Below are 20,487 nucleotides of genomic sequence, written 5' to 3'. Positions count from 1 at the left end.
TGTAGCCTAGGAACAATTGACTGTACCATACAGCCTAAGTGTATCATAGGCTGTACTATCTAGATTTGTGTAAGTACACTGTATGGTGTTCACATAGTGATAAAATAACGTAACAACTCATTTCTCAAGATGTGTCCCCATCATTAAGTGAGGCATGACTGTTCTTGTATGATTAAGAACCTCCCACCCACCCACCATCTCCTCTGCCCCGATTTGTGTCTGGAGAGTTCTATTTAGCATCCTGTAAAGGGGTTAAAATTCCTTAAAGCAGAGTTCTAGGTTTAAAAAAAACCCAAGACTTTCACATATGAAAGTCTATAAAACATGTATCTTCCCTTTTTCTCCCCTACTGTTTGGCTTGGTGTTAATATTTAATGAGAAGATAGAGGTATTTGTACCTGGTTTCTCCATTTTAGAATTTAGACAGGAAGTAAACACTAGAAAATAAAGTGTGCTAAGAAGATTATAATATTAGTAATGGGGATAGTGGGAAGTCAGTGGGAACTAGAATACAGGTTTTTTTTTCCTTTCGTTATTTGCATTTCATTAACAATACAGAATTTTTTTGTCTTCTCTTTGAGACAAGGTCTTACTCTGTCACCCAGGCTGGAGTGCAGTGGCACAGTCTCAGCTCACTGCACCTCTGCCTTCCATGCTGAAGCAGTCCTCTCACCTCAGCCTCCCAAGTAGCTGGGATTACAGGCACATGCCACCACACCAACCTGATTTTTTTTGTATTTTTAGTAGAGACAGGGTTTCACCATGTTGCCCAAGCTGGTCTGAAACTCCTGGGGTCAAGCAATTTGCCCAGTCAAAAAGTTTTTAAAAAGACAATAATCTAATAACAGGCACAAGCCAATTGGTTCAGATCCTTATTAAACCTCACTACTAACTAGGGAGTCACTGCATCCTTCTGGGACTCCTGTTTTTGTTTGTGGGTTTTTCTGTTTGTTTGAGACAGGTTCTTGCTCTGTCACCCAGACTGGAGGGTAGTGACACAGTCTCGGCTCACTGCAGCCTTGACCTCTCGGGCTCAAGTGATCCTCCCACCTCAGCCTCCTGAGTAGCTGGGACTGCAGGTGCATGCCACTATGCCCAGCTAATTTTTGTATTTTTTGTAAAGACAGGGTTTTGCTATTTTGCCCAGATTGGTCTCCATGTTTGTCTGTTTCATCTGCTGAGATCATTCTACTTACCCAAATGCTGCTTTGCTATTTAGCTGCTTGCTAACAAAGCATTATCTCTGTGAACAATAGTTACATTTTCTTATTTGGGAAGACTCAGCTTGAGAAGAACTTGCTGTTAATTTCCCATGTAACTGTGAATAAATTGTTCAACCTCTAAAGGACTTTATTTTCTGTAAGAGCATGGTGAGGATTAGCAGTTTCTATATAACTCTTTTTGGAGATTTGAAAAAATTAGATAAAATTTACTTGAGCTGGGCACAATGGCACAGGTCTGTAGTCCCAGCTACTCAGGAGGCTGAGATGGGAGGATCACTTGAGCCCAGGAGTTTGAGGCTGCAGTGCACCATGATTATGCCTCTGAATAACCACTGTACTCCAGCATGGACAACATAGTGAGACTCTGTCTCTAAAATAAAAAAATAAAAATTACTTGAGACACCTTTCCTCACACACATACATAGGTAGATAGTTTCACCAGTACAAAGGAAAGTTTGGAAATGGCCAGTGCATGGAACTATTTGAATTATCTGGCAAACTTGAGCCAGGGAAATGGCAGGAACCTAGATGTATGAAATAAGAAGTAAAAGAGGCTTGTATCTAGGATTGAGGAGGATGGAGTGTGTGCCCAGTAAACCCATTTCTGTGATGTCATAGGAAAAACATCATAAATATACTGAAAACAGTGAAAATGTCAAAATATATAAAATTGGGAAAGTGGACATAAAGAAATGAAGACTTAAGGCCATGGACAGTGGCTCATGCCTGTAATCCCAGCACTTTGGGAGGCCAAGGCAGGAAGATCACTTCAATCCAGGAATTCAAGACCAGCCTGGGTAACATGGCGAAACCCCGTCTCTACAGAAAATACAAAAACAAAATTAACCGGGCGTGGTGGCACATGCCTGTAGTCCCAGCTGCTTGGGAGGCTGAGGTGGAAGGGTCACTAGAGCCTAGGAGATTGAGACCACAATGAGCCACGATCACGCCACTGCACTCCAACCTGGGCGACAGAGAAAACCCTGTCTCAAACAAACAACAACAACAAAGGCTTAGAGAAAAAAGTCAGAAGTGGGAATCAGTGAACAGTGGAGTAAGACTATGTGGCAGTCAACAAGCAATCTTTTTGAACTACCTCGCTAGGGATTGTTGGGGAGAACTAGGAGACTCACAAAAGAGAAAAATGAAACCAAATGTATATTTGTGATATATCTGTCTCACAGAGCACCTCTTGTGTGCCAGGTATTTGATGTCTGTCTTCTCCTTTAATCTTTGCAATTGCCCTTTGGAGTAGGTAGATTTCCTCTTTATAGAGGATGAAAAGGATCACCCAAGCTAGCGAGTTGCAGAGCTGGGATTTTAATCCAAAACCTGGACTGAGCACATGCATTAGCTGGTACAAACTGCATTATGAAAACATTTCTAGGTGCAAAATGGCAGGAGTGAAGATGGAGCACCTCTAGACATAATATGGGATGAACCAAAATCTAGTTTGAAAATGACTTCCAGAACCTTTGACAGGTTTGCAACCTTCTTATGATAAACATTGGTTTATTGTAAGGTTCAAAAGTGTTGGGAATAAGTGCTGAGGACTTTTGCAAGTATTCTCTGATTCATATATATTCCTCACCACCTCACATACCAAGTGAATCCCAATATTTCACACCTGATTTTACATAGTTCTTAAATTACCACTATTTTGTGTACCTCCTTGCCCCCCTTTATTGTTGTTAAAATCAATACGTTGTGAAGGCAAATATACCACAAAATTTAAAGTATCTATAGTTTGAAAGATGAAAATAGCCAGGTGTGGTGCCCCACACCTGTAGTCTCAGCACTTTGGGAAGCTGAGGCAGGAGGATTGCTTGAGCTCAGGAGTTCAAGACCAGCCTGGGCAACATAGTGAGACCCTGTCTCTGAAAAAAAAAAATAGCCAGGCTTGGTGGTGCATGTCAGTAGTCCCAGCTACTCAGAAGGCTGAGGTGGGAGGATCCCTTGAGCTCTGGAATTTGAGGCTGCAGTGAGCCATGATTGCACCACTGCACTCCACCCTGGGTGACAGAGCAAGACCCCATCTCTTTAAAAAAAAAAAAAAAAAAAAGAAAGAAAGAAAAAGGAAAACAGGTTCCCTGACTACAAAGAATCAAACTCTAGGTGTTAGAAAAGATCTCAGAGGTCTAGTTAAATCTCTTTCAATAGAGGATTTATTTCTGCAACATCCCTGACAAGCAGCCTCTCCTTGAATATCTCTGGTAGCAGGGTCTCATTTTCTAAGATAGTTTTTTTCATTGTTAGACATAGCTATTAGAAAGTTCTTTCTAAAATTGAACTAAAGACCAAACTATTTGTAAGACTTACTCCTTAGTTCTGTGGAGTTACAAAGAACAAGCTACCCCCTCATTACATGAGCTCTTGATACCTGAATTCAGCAGTAGGAAGTAGTTCCCTATTTCTATAGAATTAATCCCTGGTAAAGTCTTGGCTGCACTTGAATCTGTCAATATCATTTTGAATTCAGTCTGCTGTTTCACCTCTTTCTTGCCTCATGTTATTTGTAAAGATAAGCATGCCTTGTATTTTGCTGTCTTCATACTGGGTCTGAACAAAAAAGGCCAGGCAGGTAAGGTCAAAGCCGAGTCAGAGCCCACAGGCTGCTGCTAGAGAATATCTCAGGCCCCAGTCCTGGGAATTATTCTTGCTAGAGTGACATACATGTTGTTGTACAGACAGTCCCTGGCTAACAATGGTTTGATTTAAGCCCATCATAAATGGGAAATATTGTTTTCAGGAAGTAACCCCATCGTAAGTCAAAGAGTGTCTGTATATTATGAAAGGTCAGGTGAGAAGATGAGGAAAGGATAACAACAGCCTTCCTGCTCCTGTGAACTGTTTCTGCAGTAGGAAGGAAGTCCATGTTGTGGGAGTGAAGGCATAAGTCAGCCTATTTTGTAGTTTTGCCTAGGGCTCGGGATCTTCATATGCATACATGTAGTGAAAAGCAAAACTGTGTTCACATTTGTGTTTTATGTTCTAATGTTTCTGTGAGCATCCATCGATTGAAGGAGAAAGGAAGAAAGTGAACAGAAACTTGCCAGGTGGCAAATGACAAGCAGATTAGGATACAAAATATTGATACTTGACTTGTGAACAGCCAAGATGATATATTGTTGTACAGTGAACACTCGTATACATATGGGTTGTTTATACTTTTTGGCAATGATGATTAATGCTGGTGTGAACATTCATGTACAAGCTTTTGTATAGAAGAAATAAGTTTTCATTTCTTTTCAGTTATATCTGGGGTAGAATTGCTGAGTCATAAGGTAACTGTTAACTTTTTGAGGAGGTGCCAAACTGTTTTGCAGAGCAATTGTACCATTTTCCATTCCCAACAGCAGTATATGAGGGTTTAGATTTCTCCATGCCCTCACCAACTCTTATCTTTTTAATTGTAGGTTCATAATTTTTTATTATACTCCTCCTTCTCCCATCAACTCCACTTTGACATCAGACTCCAAACCATCACATCAGTGTAGCTCTTTCCAGCTCACTTTTGCTAAGTGATTTGGATCGCTAGCACTCTGACTCTGATTTCTTACTTATGAGGAGAGTTAGTTGATCTGGGTTTGTAGAGTTTCAAAATGGCATCACATTGTAAAGTTTAAGAACTTGGATTTTAAAGTCAAAACTGGATTCAAATCCTTGCTGCCCTACTTAATATTTTTGTGCCCTTGGGCAATTCACTTTAGAACTTCTCTGAGCTTCTGTTTCCTCATCTATAAAATGCAGATAATACCTTCTACCCTCTTGGGGTTGTTGAAATGAATTTGCATAGTAGGCACTGATTAAACTGTTGCTGTGGCTGCTATTTTTTAATCTGTTCTACTGGTATGTATGAGCCATGTTTAATATCAAATAAGATTCCTAAGAAGCCTGAAATTTGTAGGCTAAGAGGTTGTGTGGTAGCCTGTGGGACACATGCAGAGATCCCACATGTGTCTGCTTTTATCAAGATGTAGGCTGGTGACCACCACCCTGCTCCCCTCCCTGCCACCCAACAGTCCTTAGTTGAGGAGAGTAATTTCCTGCCAGATATAACCTTTCCCTTAAATCCCAAGAGACCAGCACTTTGGAATGCGGCTTTAAAAAAGTCTCTGGCCCCTCTCTGGTAAAGAGAGAGAATGATGAAACTATCAAACACCGAAAACACCACAGAAGAGTGGGCTAACATAGGACAGTCACGAAAAGACATTATGTTAACATTATCTTATGGCATTTTGTGAACTTAAATTTTGGTGGAAAATCAATTCTAGGGATGGGACCTGTTCCTGATCACGTACTCTGGGCAGCAGATGAAAGGAAAAGGCAGAGTCACAGAGAACTTTGACCCTAGTTATCCATCAAAAGTAGGACTGCTTTCTCATTAGCCTGTTCAGTCACTTCAATAACAGGAAGAGTTTCAGCATAAAAGAAGGCAGTATAGAGACTCCTATCAAGGATAAAGAAGAACTAAATAGAGTTTAGTAACATCGTAAAAAGGGTAAGACAATGCCTTTTAAAAAAATCCTTGTTTCTTAGAAAAGCAGTGGAGTTTAGGATATAATTATTTATTGCATAATTATTGGAAGGGAGAATGTTTATGATGCTGCAACATAAAAATTACCTTAAACACAGAAATTCATTATATTCTTTAAAAGTTTGTTTACATATTATAGATGTGATTAAAAAGAAGAAAGAAAGGAGATAGTTTTAGATGTGTGAGTTTGTTCTGGCATTTTTATTCTTTTAGTATGAAGTCCCTTGAGACTCACATGCTGGTGTTAATGTTAAATGTATGCTACCTGAGTGATAGTACATTCCCTGTTGGGATGAGAGCTACCCATCTGCCCTCTGCCTGACAGAGAGGTTTCCATTCTAGGCACCAGAAGCTAGACATATGTTTATTCTTCCCTTTTCTAGTGTTTTTTAAATGTGGAGTCTTCAACCTTTCTCCTATCTACTTAGCTCTTTAGTTCCTGGGACTCCACATACAACCTACCTCAGTCGGTCTTCTTCACCACTATGAGAAGACTCGTTTTCCTAAAAACACATATTCATCATGTGACTCCTCTGCTCAGTAGTCTTCTTTGGGCTCATTTAATATCAATTCTAGAATCCCAACTCTTCGGATCTTCCAGATTTCCCATTTTTTCCTCCAACATAGATGCACTATTCTAGTTATTCTGTACATTTATCATCCATTTCTCTCCAGCCCTTTACTCACATTCATTTTTCCACCTAGAATCTCTGATCTCATCCTTTAAACCTTTTCTAGGCTGGGCATGGTGGCTCACGCCTGTAATCCCAGCACTTTGGGAGACCAAGGCAGGCGATCACCGGCACTCTGTCTTATACCTCTACTGATCTTCTTTGTTTTACTTCTCCATATGGGAAATCATCTTGCCTCCCCCACTCCTTAGAGTACAAACTCCTGAGGGCAGGCACTCTGTCTTGCTTACCACAATATTCCCAGTACTTTGAACATGCCTGGTACATAGCAGGCTCTCAGTAAATATTTGTTGACAGAAGTGTCCCAGACACTTGTGTTTGGCCATGGGGATGATGGACCCCTCTGGCTCTGGCATTCTAGGGCTCTGAATCGCAAACATCCGGGTGAGTGAGCTGGCCAGTTCTGGAATAAGCTACTGGTGACTGCCAGAAGGTTGGTTTCCATTGGTGTGTTATCTTTTCATGAGGCTTGCTTAATTGTACCCTAGTTTTTGCCTCTCCCATATGTTGTTCAGAGGAGCCTAATGACTGTCTTAATATTATGGTTATGCTCAAAGCTAATCAGGGCTGCTGGCATCGCTGCAAATACTGTGTATTGAAAAGATTATGGAACAGCCATGTTGCCACGTGATTTGGCCTTGAGACAAGCTATCTTTTCCAGAGACTAAGAGCTATACCCACTGGCACACCCTGTTAACCCAGGCCACTCAATTTCTTTGTGCTTCTATTCCTTTGTAGAATGTGTTTTGGGAGTTGGATGTAAATAATGCCAGGAAAGATATTCACAGAATTCATAAAATTCTAAACTTTTTTTTTCTCCTTAGATGTGAACGATTGGAAGAACAGCTAAATGACCTAACAGAGCTCCACCAGAATGAAATCTTGAACTTGAAGCAGGAACTGGCAAGCATGGAAGAAAAAATCGCGTATCAGTCCTATGAACGGGCCCGGGACATCCAGGTTAGTATGAAGGAAAAGGTGTAAATGCAAAATACAGTAGGGTTAGAAAGAAAAAAGGAAAACAGCGGAAGGAAAAAAGATGAGAAGGTAGAGAACAAAGAAAAGCTTATACCAACTGTGTAAGAGTATACCTACTCTTAAAATGATTGAGATGCATTTCTCAAAAGTTTATACCATTTTGGGTTGGTATGTCTGCTTGGTACTTGGGAAATGTTTCTTAGGATCACAGTAATCTCAGTGTATGGAAAACCACATGAATCCTATTTGTCCATTACTGCTTCAAAAGCAGCTCTGACAAGTATTTGGGCCATTTTGTCCTTGTCTTCTCCTTCTGTGGGAAAGGGGGCTTTTATTCCAGCTGCCAAATCCAAATCTCATATAGGCACATTGCCTGACAGTTTGCAAGAATAACCCGTGAGGCAGTAATGTTTAATTAAGGCTAATAGCCCATCTATTTTATTCTGTGAGGAAGTAGAATATTTAATTTTTTCTTATTTCTATATGGAGGTATTTAGGGAATAGTTCTTAGTGGTTTCATATGAAAGCATTTTGAAAGACACTAGTCTCAGAGAAGGGAAGTGGGCCAGAAAACTTGTATTACAACAGCCTAAAAGAATCAAGGGAATGTCTAGATCATTTACCCAGATGCCATCTTCTTCAGGCCCTGCTTATGTTTTAATTATTTTTTCCTAAGATCCTTCTGGACTGGACAGCATCCATTGTCTGTCTATAGTTGGCGTCAGTCTGAAGTTGCCCAAGCCTTACCTCAAATCCCAGGAAACCAGGACCAGAAAAACTCAAGGCTCAGACCAACTTTGGAGGATATCTGACCATAGCTAGGGAAATAGGTTCTATCCCTTGAATACTTTGGAATTAATTTAAACTCATGAGTGAAGGCTATGACCTTGAGGAGAACAGACACTTTTTTTGGGGGGGTTGGGGGGAGGTGTGGGAATTAGGCGTATGTTAAATGGAAGCTTTTTTCTAATTGCATATGTTATAAGACAAGTTGTTATTAGTTACTGGTAATTCTAAACATTAGACTCATTAATGTATTAGCACTTTATGTCACTAATGCATTACTAATGTTTCATTAATGTATTAGTATTTTACACTATTTTCAAGTTTTTTTAGTAATTGAGCGATACAGAATATACAATCAGGTCTTGGTAATATAGACTTTTAAATTAAATAATATAAAGTTAAAAAATAGCAAGAACAGGCCGGGCATGGTGGCGCACGCCTGTAATCCCAGGGGATTTGGGATTTTGGGAGGCCGAGGCGGGCGGATCACAAGGTCAGGAGATCAAGACCATCCTAACACGGTGAAACCCCATCTCTACTAAAAATACAAAAATTAGCCGGGCATGTTGGCGGGCACCTGTAGTCCCAGCTACTCAGGAGGCTGAGGCAGAAGAATGGCCTGAACCTGGGAGGTGGAGCTGGCAGTGAGCTGAGATCGCGCCGCTGCACTCTAGCCTGGGTGACAGAGCGAGACTCCGTCTCAAAAAAATAGCAAGAATAGACACTTTTAATGTTTGGTCTAGTGTGTGGGCATAGTGTCCTCTTTACAGAGGATCAAACTAAAGGAGAGTGTGCCCTTCTTAAGAAGGCAGATCAGAGATCCCTTTCCACTGATGTCAGGGATTGACTTGACTTAGAAAACACCAGGTAGTGTGTATAAGGAAGCATGTTCAAAGAATGTTCACTGCATCATTGTTATAGTGGAAAAGTTGAAAACAACCTAAAAATCCCCAAGGGGGAACTAGCTGCATATATTATAACATAGCCTAGCCATACTATAAAATGCCAGGCAGCAGTTAAAAAAAAATGAGGTAGATTCTGTGTATTGACATGGAGAGATCACCAAGACCCACTGTTGAATGAAAAAAAAAGCAAGTTGTGAATCGATTCCTATAGTGTGATACTATTCCATGTTTGGAAAAGCCAAACCCTGTAAAATATTTTAAAGAGGTTTATTCTGAGCCAATACAAGTAACCATGGCCTGGGGAACACAGTCTGAAGAGGTCCTGAGAAAATATGCCTGAAGCAGTTGGGTTACAGTTTGGCTTTATACATTTCAGGGAGACAGGAATTGTAGGTAAAATCCTAAATCAACACATGGAAAGTATACATTGGTTTGGCCCAAAAAGGTGGGCCATCTCTAAGTAGGGGCTAACAAGTCATAGTGGGCTTTAGGAATTTTTTAGCTGGCAGTCGGTTGAAAGAGTTAAGCTTTGTGTAAAGACTTGAAGCCAGTACAAAAATGCCTAAGTTAACGGAGTCTGTTGTCTGTCATGTGATGCTATACCTGAGTCAGGTTGGAAAGAAAGCCACATTAACACCAGTTAATTTTTTTAAAAACTGATGAGATTTTATGGTTTATAGGGTGAGATTTAACCTTGTCTGGCATGGCCTTAGGTCTTGTTTATAATTTGATGTCTTACTGCCACAAAGAGTCCATTCTGTCAGTCTTATGATCTCTATTTTCACATTAATGCTGGTCATTTGTGCCACAACTCAAAAAGGGAGGGGATATAATAAGGCATGTCCAGCCTCTTTCCCATCATTGCCAAGAACTCACTTTTTCAGGTTTCTTTGGGGTCCACTTTGGCCAAGAGGGAGTCCGTTCATTTGGCTGGGGGTCTTAGGATTTTATTTTTAGTTTACAGATAGGAAATAAAAATAATAATTCCGTATATTTTCCTTGACACATATATGCATACACTTACACACATAAAAGGGTGAACACAAACAGTACTGCCTCAGGGACAGGGATTGGAATTGAAGGAAATGTCAAGAGAGACTATCCTATTTGAAATTTTTTATGTTGAACAAATATATTCTGTGCAACTTAGATTAATTTTCAATGAAAAAAGAGCATATATTTGTGGTCTTGTCATTAAAATGTTCTAGACTAAATAAATGTTAAGTGTGGCCACTGCTTCCTGTGACTCATCCCACTGGAATGCAGTGGAGGGCAATTTGGGGGAATAATAATCACTTGAATAGTGAGTTATACATCTAGCCTTTTACATTCATTCAAGGCTCCAGCATATTTATAAAATCATTGGCATTGCTCAAGATGCATCTGGCTTGCCCAGGGGGCATGTCAGCATCTCAGAATACTTGTGAGCAGAAGGCTTAACTCTTCCCTGTTCTGGCCCACAGGAGGCCCTGGAGGCATGCCAGACGCGCATCTCCAAGATGGAGCTGCAGCAGCAGCAGCAGCAGGTGGTGCAGCTAGAAGGGCTGGAGAATGCCACTGCCCGGAACCTTCTGGGCAAACTCATCAACATCCTCCTGGCTGTCATGGCAGTCCTTTTGGTCTTTGTCTCCACTGTAGCCAACTGTGTGGTCCCCCTCATGAAGACTCGCAACAGGACGTTCAGCACTTTATTCCTTGTGGTTTTTATTGCCTTTCTCTGGAAGCACTGGGACGCCCTCTTCAGCTATGTGGAACGGTTCTTTTCATCCCCTAGATGATGCTGGCACAGAAGGCATTGTTCCCTACCCTCTGGCGAGTGCATGCAGCAGAGAGTTAGACAGCAACTTACCTACTCTGAAGTTTTCTACAACAAAAAAAGAGTTGAGTGAATCTGTTTACATTTAGAATAATGTTTTTTTCTTCAAGAGACGCAATTGCAATAGTATTTTTTAGATTTTATCCAAGAAGTTTTTTGGGCGAAAATCTTGGATCATTTTTATGTAGCATGATTTTCCTTGGGATGCAAATCTTAAAACAGTCCTTTAATATGAACCAACAATCTGGAGCACACCGAAGGGCAATCTAAATTGTGGCTTGAAGGACTGCACTAAAACCCACTAAAAAGATGCGAAAACCTGATGAGGGCAAACCAGTTAAACCTAACACCCTGCCTTGTCTGGGCTCATCACCTCTCCCTATCCCAGACTAACTTTACTGTGAAATCCTACCACATTCCATGTCTGAATTTTTGGATTCGGGGTGGATTTTCGTTGTCCGTGGAAGAACACATGGATCTCTCTGGCTTTCTCACCCAAGTTGGCCACTTACGCTAATCCTGGAAGTATGATCACTTTTGAACCTGCCCCTTAACCTTGACGAGGATACAAAAGTGAAAGCATCATCCCCCAAAGGATCACTGCACAGTCCTACTACAGTATTTTTAAGTAGCCCTCTAAATACTTAATTTTAAGCAAAATCCCTTGGCCGCACTTTTAAGGTTTTTTTATATGTGTATAGTTACCAACCTAAAAATAAAAAATCCGAACAGCATACTTGAAGAATGTAATACTCAAACTCTCAGTGCTTCCTTATGGTTTCTAATAGGATTTTTTATTATTGTTATTATTATTATTGGGTTTTTTTGGACAGGGTTGGGAGGGTCTTTTATTTTTCCTTTGAAATAAAGAAGTGATGTTTTTAAATGAAGAAATGTGTGGATATTTAAGTGTGCTGCTCCCTCTTGTCTTGAAACAGTTTGAGTAAGAAAGTCTTGCTGTAAATGCTGCCCTCTGCCGCCTTTGTTTTGAGATGCAGTTTAAACTCCCTCTGGCTGCTGCTGCTGCTTTTTGGTGTCCCGACATACCTACGCCCCCGTTTTATGGGTTTGGCTTAGTTGAAGAGGAAAGGGTTGTGCAAGGAGAGCAGGAGGCTGTTTCCAAAAACCAGTGTAGTAGGATAGGGATTTTTTTTTTTTTTTTTTGCCCCAAGAAAACGTTCACCCAGTGATCTTGGGCTGGGGTTGTCTTTAGGAAAAGTTGAGACTATAAGAGTCATAAATAAGTCCTTGTGTTTCCTTAATTTATTTTGTTAACACCCCTAATTACAACCAAAGTGATGATGTGGAGTCTTCTGTCTTCATTTTGGCCCCAGCATTCTTAATTTCAAAGCTTTATTCTGTCTGCCTAAGAGAATCAACCAAAGGTGATTCTCCTAAAGAGCAGTGAAGGAAATGTCAGGTTAGCAGGACCCAAGTTTTGGGTGTGAAATGTTGCCAGCTTCCTATAATGTAAACGGACTTGTTAACCTAACCTAATTATGCTCAGTGGACTTCTATAGATGGTTTTGAAAAATGAACTGAGCTGCCTTCCCCCGTCGCATAACCAGTTCCATCATCCTGGTGGAACTTGAACATTTAGAGTTTATCTAGAGAGCTTGGTTAATCTTTCCATATTATTTGTAGTATTGGTCACAAATGCTGTTCCCTCTTAGCCTCATTCTGTGCAACCAAGTGCATATAAGATGCCCTGAAAAGAGTAACAAAGTATGCTTTGCCTGTTTCCACTTACCAGGAAATTCCTTCAGAACTAGATTAGCATTGCCCTGCCTGTCTGAAAGGACAGTTTACCTAATGGTGCCAGCCTCCTTTTGCTTTGGCAAGCTGGATTTCTCAGAGCCAGCATGTTGTTTCCATAACTACTTTGATATTTTAACTCAGGTACTCCAGTCTTCACCCCAACCTCAGCTGATTGTAGTACACCTGCTAGCTCTGTTGCCCCCTCAAAACTGCACCCAGAGCAGGGCCACAAGGGTGCTTTTTTTCTTTAAAAAAAAAAAAATTAGAACCAATTCATGTTCATGCCAAAAACAAATTGTCCCCAAGCCTATATGTATTAAAATGTTAACTTTGCCTAAAAATATTGCAGTGACTTTTTAGGCAGGAGTGCCAAAGGACACTATGAACTTTTTGAACTGACAGTTTCTCCTAACTTTCTGCTTTAGCGTAATTGCTCAGAGTAGAGAGCCCCCACAAAGTTATTTAAAAGATGCCCTAGCAGCAATCCACCAGTTTTTCTAAGCTAGAACCTTTGAGTCCCCCAAACTGCCTGAAGACTTAAGTTTTGTGGGCACTGGAAGTCACTTTGATAGATGGATTGAAACTGTTCCTATTTGCCCTGGGACGGTTTCTATCTATCAAAGGAAGGTTTTCACCTGTAGAAAGCCCCCTGCCTCCAGCCAAATAGTCCCATGCTGACTTTCTATCTTCCTTTCTCAAACTGTCTTAGGAAGGACCTTCAGTGCAGATCAGGTGCAGTAATGGCTTTCTTGTCCCTTAATTATTCACCAGACCCAGAAGTTGTACGCATTTAATGCTGTTTGTAACCATGCATCTGTTTTCATTCTTTGCTGTACCTTTTGCTGCCCATCCTGTTACTTTTGAGTTTCTTTCATTGTGGTTGTTCTTGGGTTCTTTTGTCTTGTCAGAGCTCTTCTATAACCTCGCTCTAATGGCTTAACAGTTGTTCTGGGTGGAAACGTCCCCTCATTTGAATGCTCCTCTAAAAAAAAAAGAAAAGAAAACTGTATTCATTCCCTTTAAAATGAAACATTCCTGGTTTATTTGTCCATGCCTCTAGCCTGGGTGAGTGAAGCTGGCTGTGTTGGCCTGGGTGATTGTTCAGGTTGTAGAATGCGCATTTTACATTGTTTATGATAATTGAAGGGTACTTCTGTCTGCTCCAATTTCCATTCCTTGGTATACTCAGTATGTCCTAGTAAGGAAGGCTTTCCACTCTACTGGCTCCTTAAGAAGCAAAAGTAGGTTAAATTTTATACTTCACTGACTAGGGTCTTCTCTCTCCCCTGTTCTGAATGGAGTAAAAGTCTGATGCCAAGACAAATATTGGGAGCGAGCCTTCCTCACTAGCCATGTCCAAATAATGAGCGTATTTTCATGTGGTCTTCACTGCATTTGGTTTTGTTTCTGATTTCATGTTCCTTTGAGGTACAGTCAGATGAAAATGCTGAGTTCTGAGAGAGTTCCAATGAGGAGCTGCCTTTCAGCTTTGGAAAATATGCAACTAAAACAAAACCAAACATTATTGTAATCTGACACAGGCAAAATTATGGTTCCCACACCCCAACCCCAAATGAAACCTGGGATTTTGAATGTGGCTCTAAGAGTTAACATTGCTGTCTGTATGTCGTGTATGCTAGGTGATATCCTCAGTAGGGATTGACTACTAGACTGTGTGTTTTATCAAAGTGTGTAAGAATAAAAACTCACTTGCACGAATTGAAACGTAAAGAAATGACACTTGTGAACGTGTGAACGTTAACACTGTAGTTGATAGATCTTAAGCTGCTAATTGTTGAGAGAGATTTAAATTTATGTTCTGTCTGGTCGCTGCAGATTCTCAGCAGCACTTTTACTGTATATAGAAATTGAAATAAAGACCTCAGCTATTAACCTGGTGGTCAGACTCATGTTTGTTTTGCTTTTTATTTTTGAAACATTTAACATATGTAGTTCTACATGCATGTAATGCATTATTATCCAGCCTAGTGCCACCTGTAGTTTTGTTATAAAAGTAGTAATTTCTATTAGGACTTTTTCCTGATGATCTCTGGGAGGCCTCTGGAAATCCTGAAGTCCTAAACTTGCCTTTGACCTGGTACCAAGCAGAGACATGATGATTCGGTCCTTCACAGCTCCAGTCTGAATGTCGAGAGCTTTAGTCCCACTTCTGGCTTGCTAGCTGTGTGCCTCTTACCCCATGTATAAACTAGTGATACCACACCACCCAACTTGATCCTACAGGTGGATGTTGTGAGAGCAAGGGATACATCTTGTGAAATCTTTGAAAATTCCCCTTAAAATATGGGCCAGGCTGCCATGTACAGATATGCAGGTTGTATATTGCCCAACCCTGCGGGGGCTTCATAAGTCTGATAAACTGTGAACAACATCCAGGAGTTGTGTAGTGCATACGGGACACATAGAGCTGCCATGATAATGGGCGATACATAATTTCAAAACCTGCTTTATTTTTATCCTTTAAAAACCTTGGAGACTTACTGAATGCCAGTAAAAACTGGGTGTGGTGGCTCTCACACCTGTAATCCCAAAACTTTGGGAGGACAAGGTTGGAGGATTACTTGAGGCCAGGAGTTTGATACCAACCTGGGCAACATAGTGAGACCCCTATCTCTACAAAAAATAAATTTAGCTAGGTGTGGTGGCAGGCACCTGTAGTCCCAGCTACTCAGGAGGCTGAGGTGATAGCATCACTCGAGCCCAGGAGTTTGAGATTACAGTGAGCTATGATTACACCACTGCACTCTAGGCTAGGTGGCAGAGCGAGACCCTGTCTCAAAAAAAGAAAACTTCAGAGAGTGGAAGGCAGATGACATAAATTTGAGAAGCTGTGGTGTAGAAAACAGATTGGGGAGGCAGAGGAAGGTATGGTCAACTAGAAATGCATGCTTCACCTGAAGGGTTCAAATATACTTAAATCCTATGGTCCAAACTAAACATTTAGCTGACTTGTAGCCCCAAGTCTATAGTGAAGAATAGCTAACGTTTATTGAGTATTTACTGAGTGCCAGACATCATTCAGTTTTATCAGTCAATTCTCCCCCACAGTCTTATGCAGGAGATATCCTCATTGTTTAGGTAAGAACTCTGAAGCTTGGGTTAAATGGCTTGCCCAAAATTAATGTTAGGAAATGGTAAATTAATGCAATGGAAAATAGGTCTATGCGACATATATAACAAAAAATGAGCGTCCACAATATTTAAGACTACAAATCAATAATCATCTTTCCTATTGGTAACAGCTCAATAGAAAAGACAGGCAATAGTTATAAACAGAGAGCTTATAGAAAAATGACCAATAAGCGGCTGGGCGCGGTGGCTCACGCCTGTAATCCCAGCACTTTGGGAGGCTGAGGCGGGTGGATCACGAGGTCAGGAGATCGAGACCATCCTGGCTAACATGGTGAAACCCCGTCTCTACTAAAAAGACAAAAAAATTAGCCGGGCATGGTGGTAGGCGCCTGTAGTCCCAGCTACTCGGGAGGCTGAGGCAGGAGAATGGCGTGAACCCAGGAAGCGGAGCTTGCAGTGAGCCGAGATGGTGTCGCTGCACTCCAGCAGCCAGGGCGACAGAGCGAGACTCTGTCTCAAAAAAAAAAAAAGAAAAGAAAAATGACCAATAAGCATACCAGAAAATTGTTCAGCCTCCTGTATAATCAGTGCATTAAGATTTAAAAAGCCAACTGTGGAACAATATATTGTCTCCCATTTATGTTGAGAATATGTATATTTGTGTAAATATATGCATGTGGATGTGTAAAAACTTTGCATTAAACTTTCCCGTTATTTTGGGAAGGGAGAGGGAGGAACAGTGGTTAAGCAGCACTTTCATGCTTGGCTTCTATAAAGTATGAATCTCTTTGAAGAAAATGTATTTGTGTATTTTTTAAATTAAATATATCAAAAACTTAAAAATAGGTCCAGTGAGAAGTGAAAAAAGAATTGATAGTGTTCCTAATGACAGATCATACTAGACCATCTTTTGCCTCCAGATTGCCTTAGAGGGGGCTCTAGACCAAGTTTGGGCCACCCCTTGAGCTTTCTTCCAGCCCTGGATTTCTAGGCTTGGGGGTCACATAGATGTCCCGCTGCCAGAAGCCCTGCGGGCTGAGAAGGAGGAGCACGTGCAGAGGTGACAGCAGCAGCTGGTACCTCCTATTTAGCCAGCAGCACTTAAGAGCCACTCTATACAAGACTGGGCTGTGGAAAAAGGAACTTAGTAGAATGAAATACATGTGGTAAAGAGGCAGAAGACGTGTGGGAGCAAAGAGGAGGAAGCAATTCTAACAGAGCAATAGGGAAAGGCTCAACGGAGGAGGCCATGGTATCTGGACTGAAAGATGGTGGCTTTATGATGAGCAGAAATAGGTGAGGGGGCATTTCTATTGGAGGTATTAGCAAAACCACAGAGGTGAAAACGGCCTAGGTGAGCAGTTCAAGCAATGGATAAGGAGCCTTAAGTGACTGGTAGGGTGCCTGAAAGAATGTGTGAGAATCATATGTGGGGGCCAAGTTGCAAGAAATCTTGAATACCACGCTAAAGGTTTACCTTGTGACTACAAGAGAAGCCATTACAGGTGTTGAAAGGTGACCCAGCCTTCTGTTTAATTACAGCCCTTTGAGAAGAAACCAGAAACCTGTTTTTCAGGTCATCCCAATCAGTTGGGTGTTTGAGGAATGGTGTCCAAGGTATTTGGTCTTTTGCCTATTGATCCTGTAAGTAGAGGCTCTTCACAGTTTTTTGATAAGTGGAAAAAGGGTGTAGGCAACTCAGAGTTCAGTTCTTTTAAAAAAAAAAAATCCCTGGGCCAGGCGCTGTGGCTCACGCCTGTAATCCCAGCACTTTGGGAGGCCGAGGCAGGCGGATCACGAGGTCAAGAGATGGAGACCATTCTGGCCAACATGGTGAAACCCCGTCACTACTAAAAGTACAAAAATTAGCTGGGCGTGGTGGCACTCACCTGTAGTCCCAGCTACTTGGGAGGCTGAGGCAGGAGAATTGCTTGAACCTGGGAGGCGGAGGTTGCAGTGAGCCGAGATCACGCCACTGCACTCCAGCCTAGCGACAGAGCAAGACTCCATCTCAAAAAAAAAAAAAAAATCCCTGTCACCTTTGGTATTACAATCCTTAAATCCCAGAGCAAGAGTACTTGACAAAATTTATTCATGCTTCTGTCTTACTGAATGTTTAAGCTGTTCAAGAGAATATTCTTTATCTGTTGAAAGAATTCAGTTCAATAGTTTTCGAGACTGTATTAAAAGGTGCAACAAATCATGATGAAAATGAATTATGTTAAATTTTGCCTAAAGCTGCTTCTGTACATATCTTAAGTTTGGCCTAAAGGTTTCTCCATACATAGGGAACTGTAACCTAGCCAGGCATAAGCAGATTGGAACCTACTCTTGTAACGAGTAGCCAAGTCTCCGCCAATCACAGCAGCCGAACTTCAGTCAACCACAGGCAGCCAACTGTTGAAATAAGGTACAAGCCCAGAATAAGTTTAACAAGAATAAGTGAGGTCTGCATACCTCACTTCAATTTTTTATACACCACTTGCCTTTTTCTGTCCATAAATGTTACTTAGCCATATGGCAGCCCCAGACTCTCACTGACCTGTCCTGGTCTTAGGGGCTGCCCAATTCATGAATCATTCTTTGTTAAATTTAACTTGTCTAAAGTTTTTATTTTAAGTATTTTATTTTATTTTATTTCATCTCATTTTATTTTGACAGAGTCTTGCTCTGTCGCCCAGGCTGGAGTGCAGTGGCACGATCTTGGCTCACTGCAACCTCCATCTCCCAGGTTCAAGTGATTCTCCTGCCTCAGCCTCCCAAGTAGCTGGGATTATAGGCCTGTGCCACCACACCGAGCTAATTTTTTGTATTTTTTAGTAGAGACGGGGTTTCACCATGTTGGCCAGGCTGGTCGCTGGTCTCGAACTCCTGACCTCAGGTGATCCACCCACCTCAGCCTCCCAAAGTGCTGGGATTATAGGCATGAACCACCGCGCCTGGCCTCTTTTAAGAATTTTAATAACCACTTTACCTTAACAGAAGGTTGTGAAGGTTATGAGGATTAAATGAAAATTGTACAGAGCCTAGCCCAGCATCTGGCAAGAGAAAGTGCTATACCATGATCTTGATTATTAGTAGACTGAGAATTCCTAGAGGACAGGCACCTGTGTCACTCATCTAACTCTCTTCAGAATATAGCACATCTCCCATTCTTACCAACGAAGAGCCCAGTAGCCAGAATTTGGGCTATCCTCAGCCAGCCCTGGCTCTTAAGTTGGTTTGGGGAACCAAAAAATCAGTATGTGTCAGAGAATGGGCTGGCCATGGGGACAAGAAAAGAATATCGTGTCCATAAGAACAAAAACTCGCAAATGGGGCCAGGCACAGTGGCTCACGCCTGTAATCTCAACACTTTGGGAGGCCAAGGCAGGTGGATTGGTTGAGGCCCAGAGTTCAAGACTAGCCTGGGCAACATAGACTCTATCTCAAAAACAAAACAAAACGAAACAAAAAAGCCTTTGCGAGTGAATACACATATAATTGGCTGATAATCTATTTTACTTATAATTTCTTAACCAGCACAGTGACAGGGACGTTGTCAGTTTGTGGCTATGTCCTAAGTGCCTGAAACAATGCCTGGCCCAGAATTGGTGCTCATTAAAAAGTGGAACTTAAAAAATTGCTATTAATTGAGTCCCTATTCTGTGCCAGGCACAGTGCCACTTGTTATGCTTCTGATTGTTTCAACCGTTCTAAAGAGGAGGTGGTATAACTTCCATTTTTCAGATGAAACCAAAAGCTTGGGAAGGTTGTTTGCATTTTATCTTGTGGACAAGCTGTTTCACTAGTAAATGGCAAAGTCAGGATTTGAACTTGGTTGAGTTTGATTCTAAAGCCCATGCAATTTCTGCTATTCCATTTTGTTGGGCAAGGAATCAAGAATTGTGGATTTCAGACTTTGTGTAATCTTGAGAAGGCAAGGATCTGACTTCTTCTGGATCTCTGTGTCCCTGCTGTAAAGTCACCTTAGTTCTCCTCCAGCAATCAAATAATAAAACAATTATTTGGTGCCGAGCTCACGATCTCCCTATGAGCATTGGCCATGGCCACCGAAAGGGTTAAACATCAGGACAGGACAAGGTGGGAATTTATAGCTGAAATCTAGGCATGACCATAACAGGATTGTGTGTGTGGCAGAGGGGAGGGGGAGCAGGGGATGGATTTGAGGCAAATGTACAAAATGTCTGCATGGTGGTGGGTACCAGTATTCTTACTGTATGAAGTATTTCAGAATCTAAAAGAGAAAATAAAATATAAGGAATCTGGAGGGCGGAAGGAGGGAGAGAAGCAGGAAAATAATAACTAATGGATGAAATAATCTGGGTGATGAAATAATCTGTACAACCAATCCCCATGACACACGTTTACCTATGTAACAAACCTGCACATCCTGCACATGTACCCCTGAACCTAAAAGTAAAAAATAAAAATAAGGAGTCATGGTATTGACATATAGCACATTAATGGGAGCAAATGATGGTAATTGGGCATATTCACATTCTTCATGAAATCTGTGAGTTTTGCTCTGTGGGGAAAAGCAAGAGAGATCAGATTGTTACTGTGTCTGTGTAGAAAGAAGTAGACATGGGAGACTCCATTTTGTTCTGTACTAAGAAAAATTCTTCTGCCTTGAGATTCTGTTAATCTATAACCTTACCCCCAACCCCGTGCTCTCTGAAACATGTGCTGTGTCAAC

General features: G+C 41.3%; 1 protein-coding gene across 16 annotated transcripts in view, besides 2 other annotated features; it reads left to right on the top strand.

Annotated features, from left to right (window-relative positions):
• Window positions 1-14,588, top strand: part of TMCC1 (transmembrane and coiled-coil domain family 1) — a 245,920-nt gene extending 231,332 nt beyond the window's left edge. For all 16 annotated transcript variants that reach the window (NM_001128224.3, NM_001349268.2, NM_001349270.2 and 13 more), the window contains 2 exons: window positions 7,277-7,412; window positions 10,585-14,588. In NM_001128224.3, coding sequence (NP_001121696.1) covers window positions 7,277-7,412; window positions 10,585-10,899 — 451 coding nt within the window. In that variant the 3' untranslated portion in view covers window positions 10,900-14,588. The remainder of the gene's footprint in view (window positions 1-7,276; window positions 7,413-10,584) is intronic.
• Window positions 3,433-4,260: an enhancer, noted in NCBI's record as "H3K27ac-H3K4me1 hESC enhancer chr3:129376963-129377790 (GRCh37/hg19 assembly coordinates)". NCBI's record gives its function as "activates a minimal SCP1, AML or CMV promoter by ChIP-STARR-seq in primed H9 embryonic stem cells {active_cell/tissue: H9 hESC(primed)}" and the evidence as "EXISTENCE:reporter gene assay evidence [ECO:0000049][PMID:30033119]".
• Window positions 10,480-10,774: a silencer, noted in NCBI's record as "tiled region #9069; K562 Repressive non-DNase unmatched - State 13:Ctcf". NCBI's record gives its function as "represses a minimal TATA promoter and a strong SV40 promoter by Sharpr-MPRA in K562 cells {active_cell/tissue: K562}" and the evidence as "EXISTENCE:reporter gene assay evidence [ECO:0000049][PMID:27701403]".

This window comes from Homo sapiens, chromosome 3 (genome assembly GCF_000001405.40).
Source record: "Homo sapiens chromosome 3, GRCh38.p14 Primary Assembly".
Classification (NCBI taxonomy): Eukaryota; Metazoa; Chordata; class Mammalia; order Primates; family Hominidae; genus Homo; species Homo sapiens.
The sequence above is the reverse complement of the archived record's forward strand: the minus strand, read 5'-3'. Positions and strand labels throughout refer to the sequence as shown.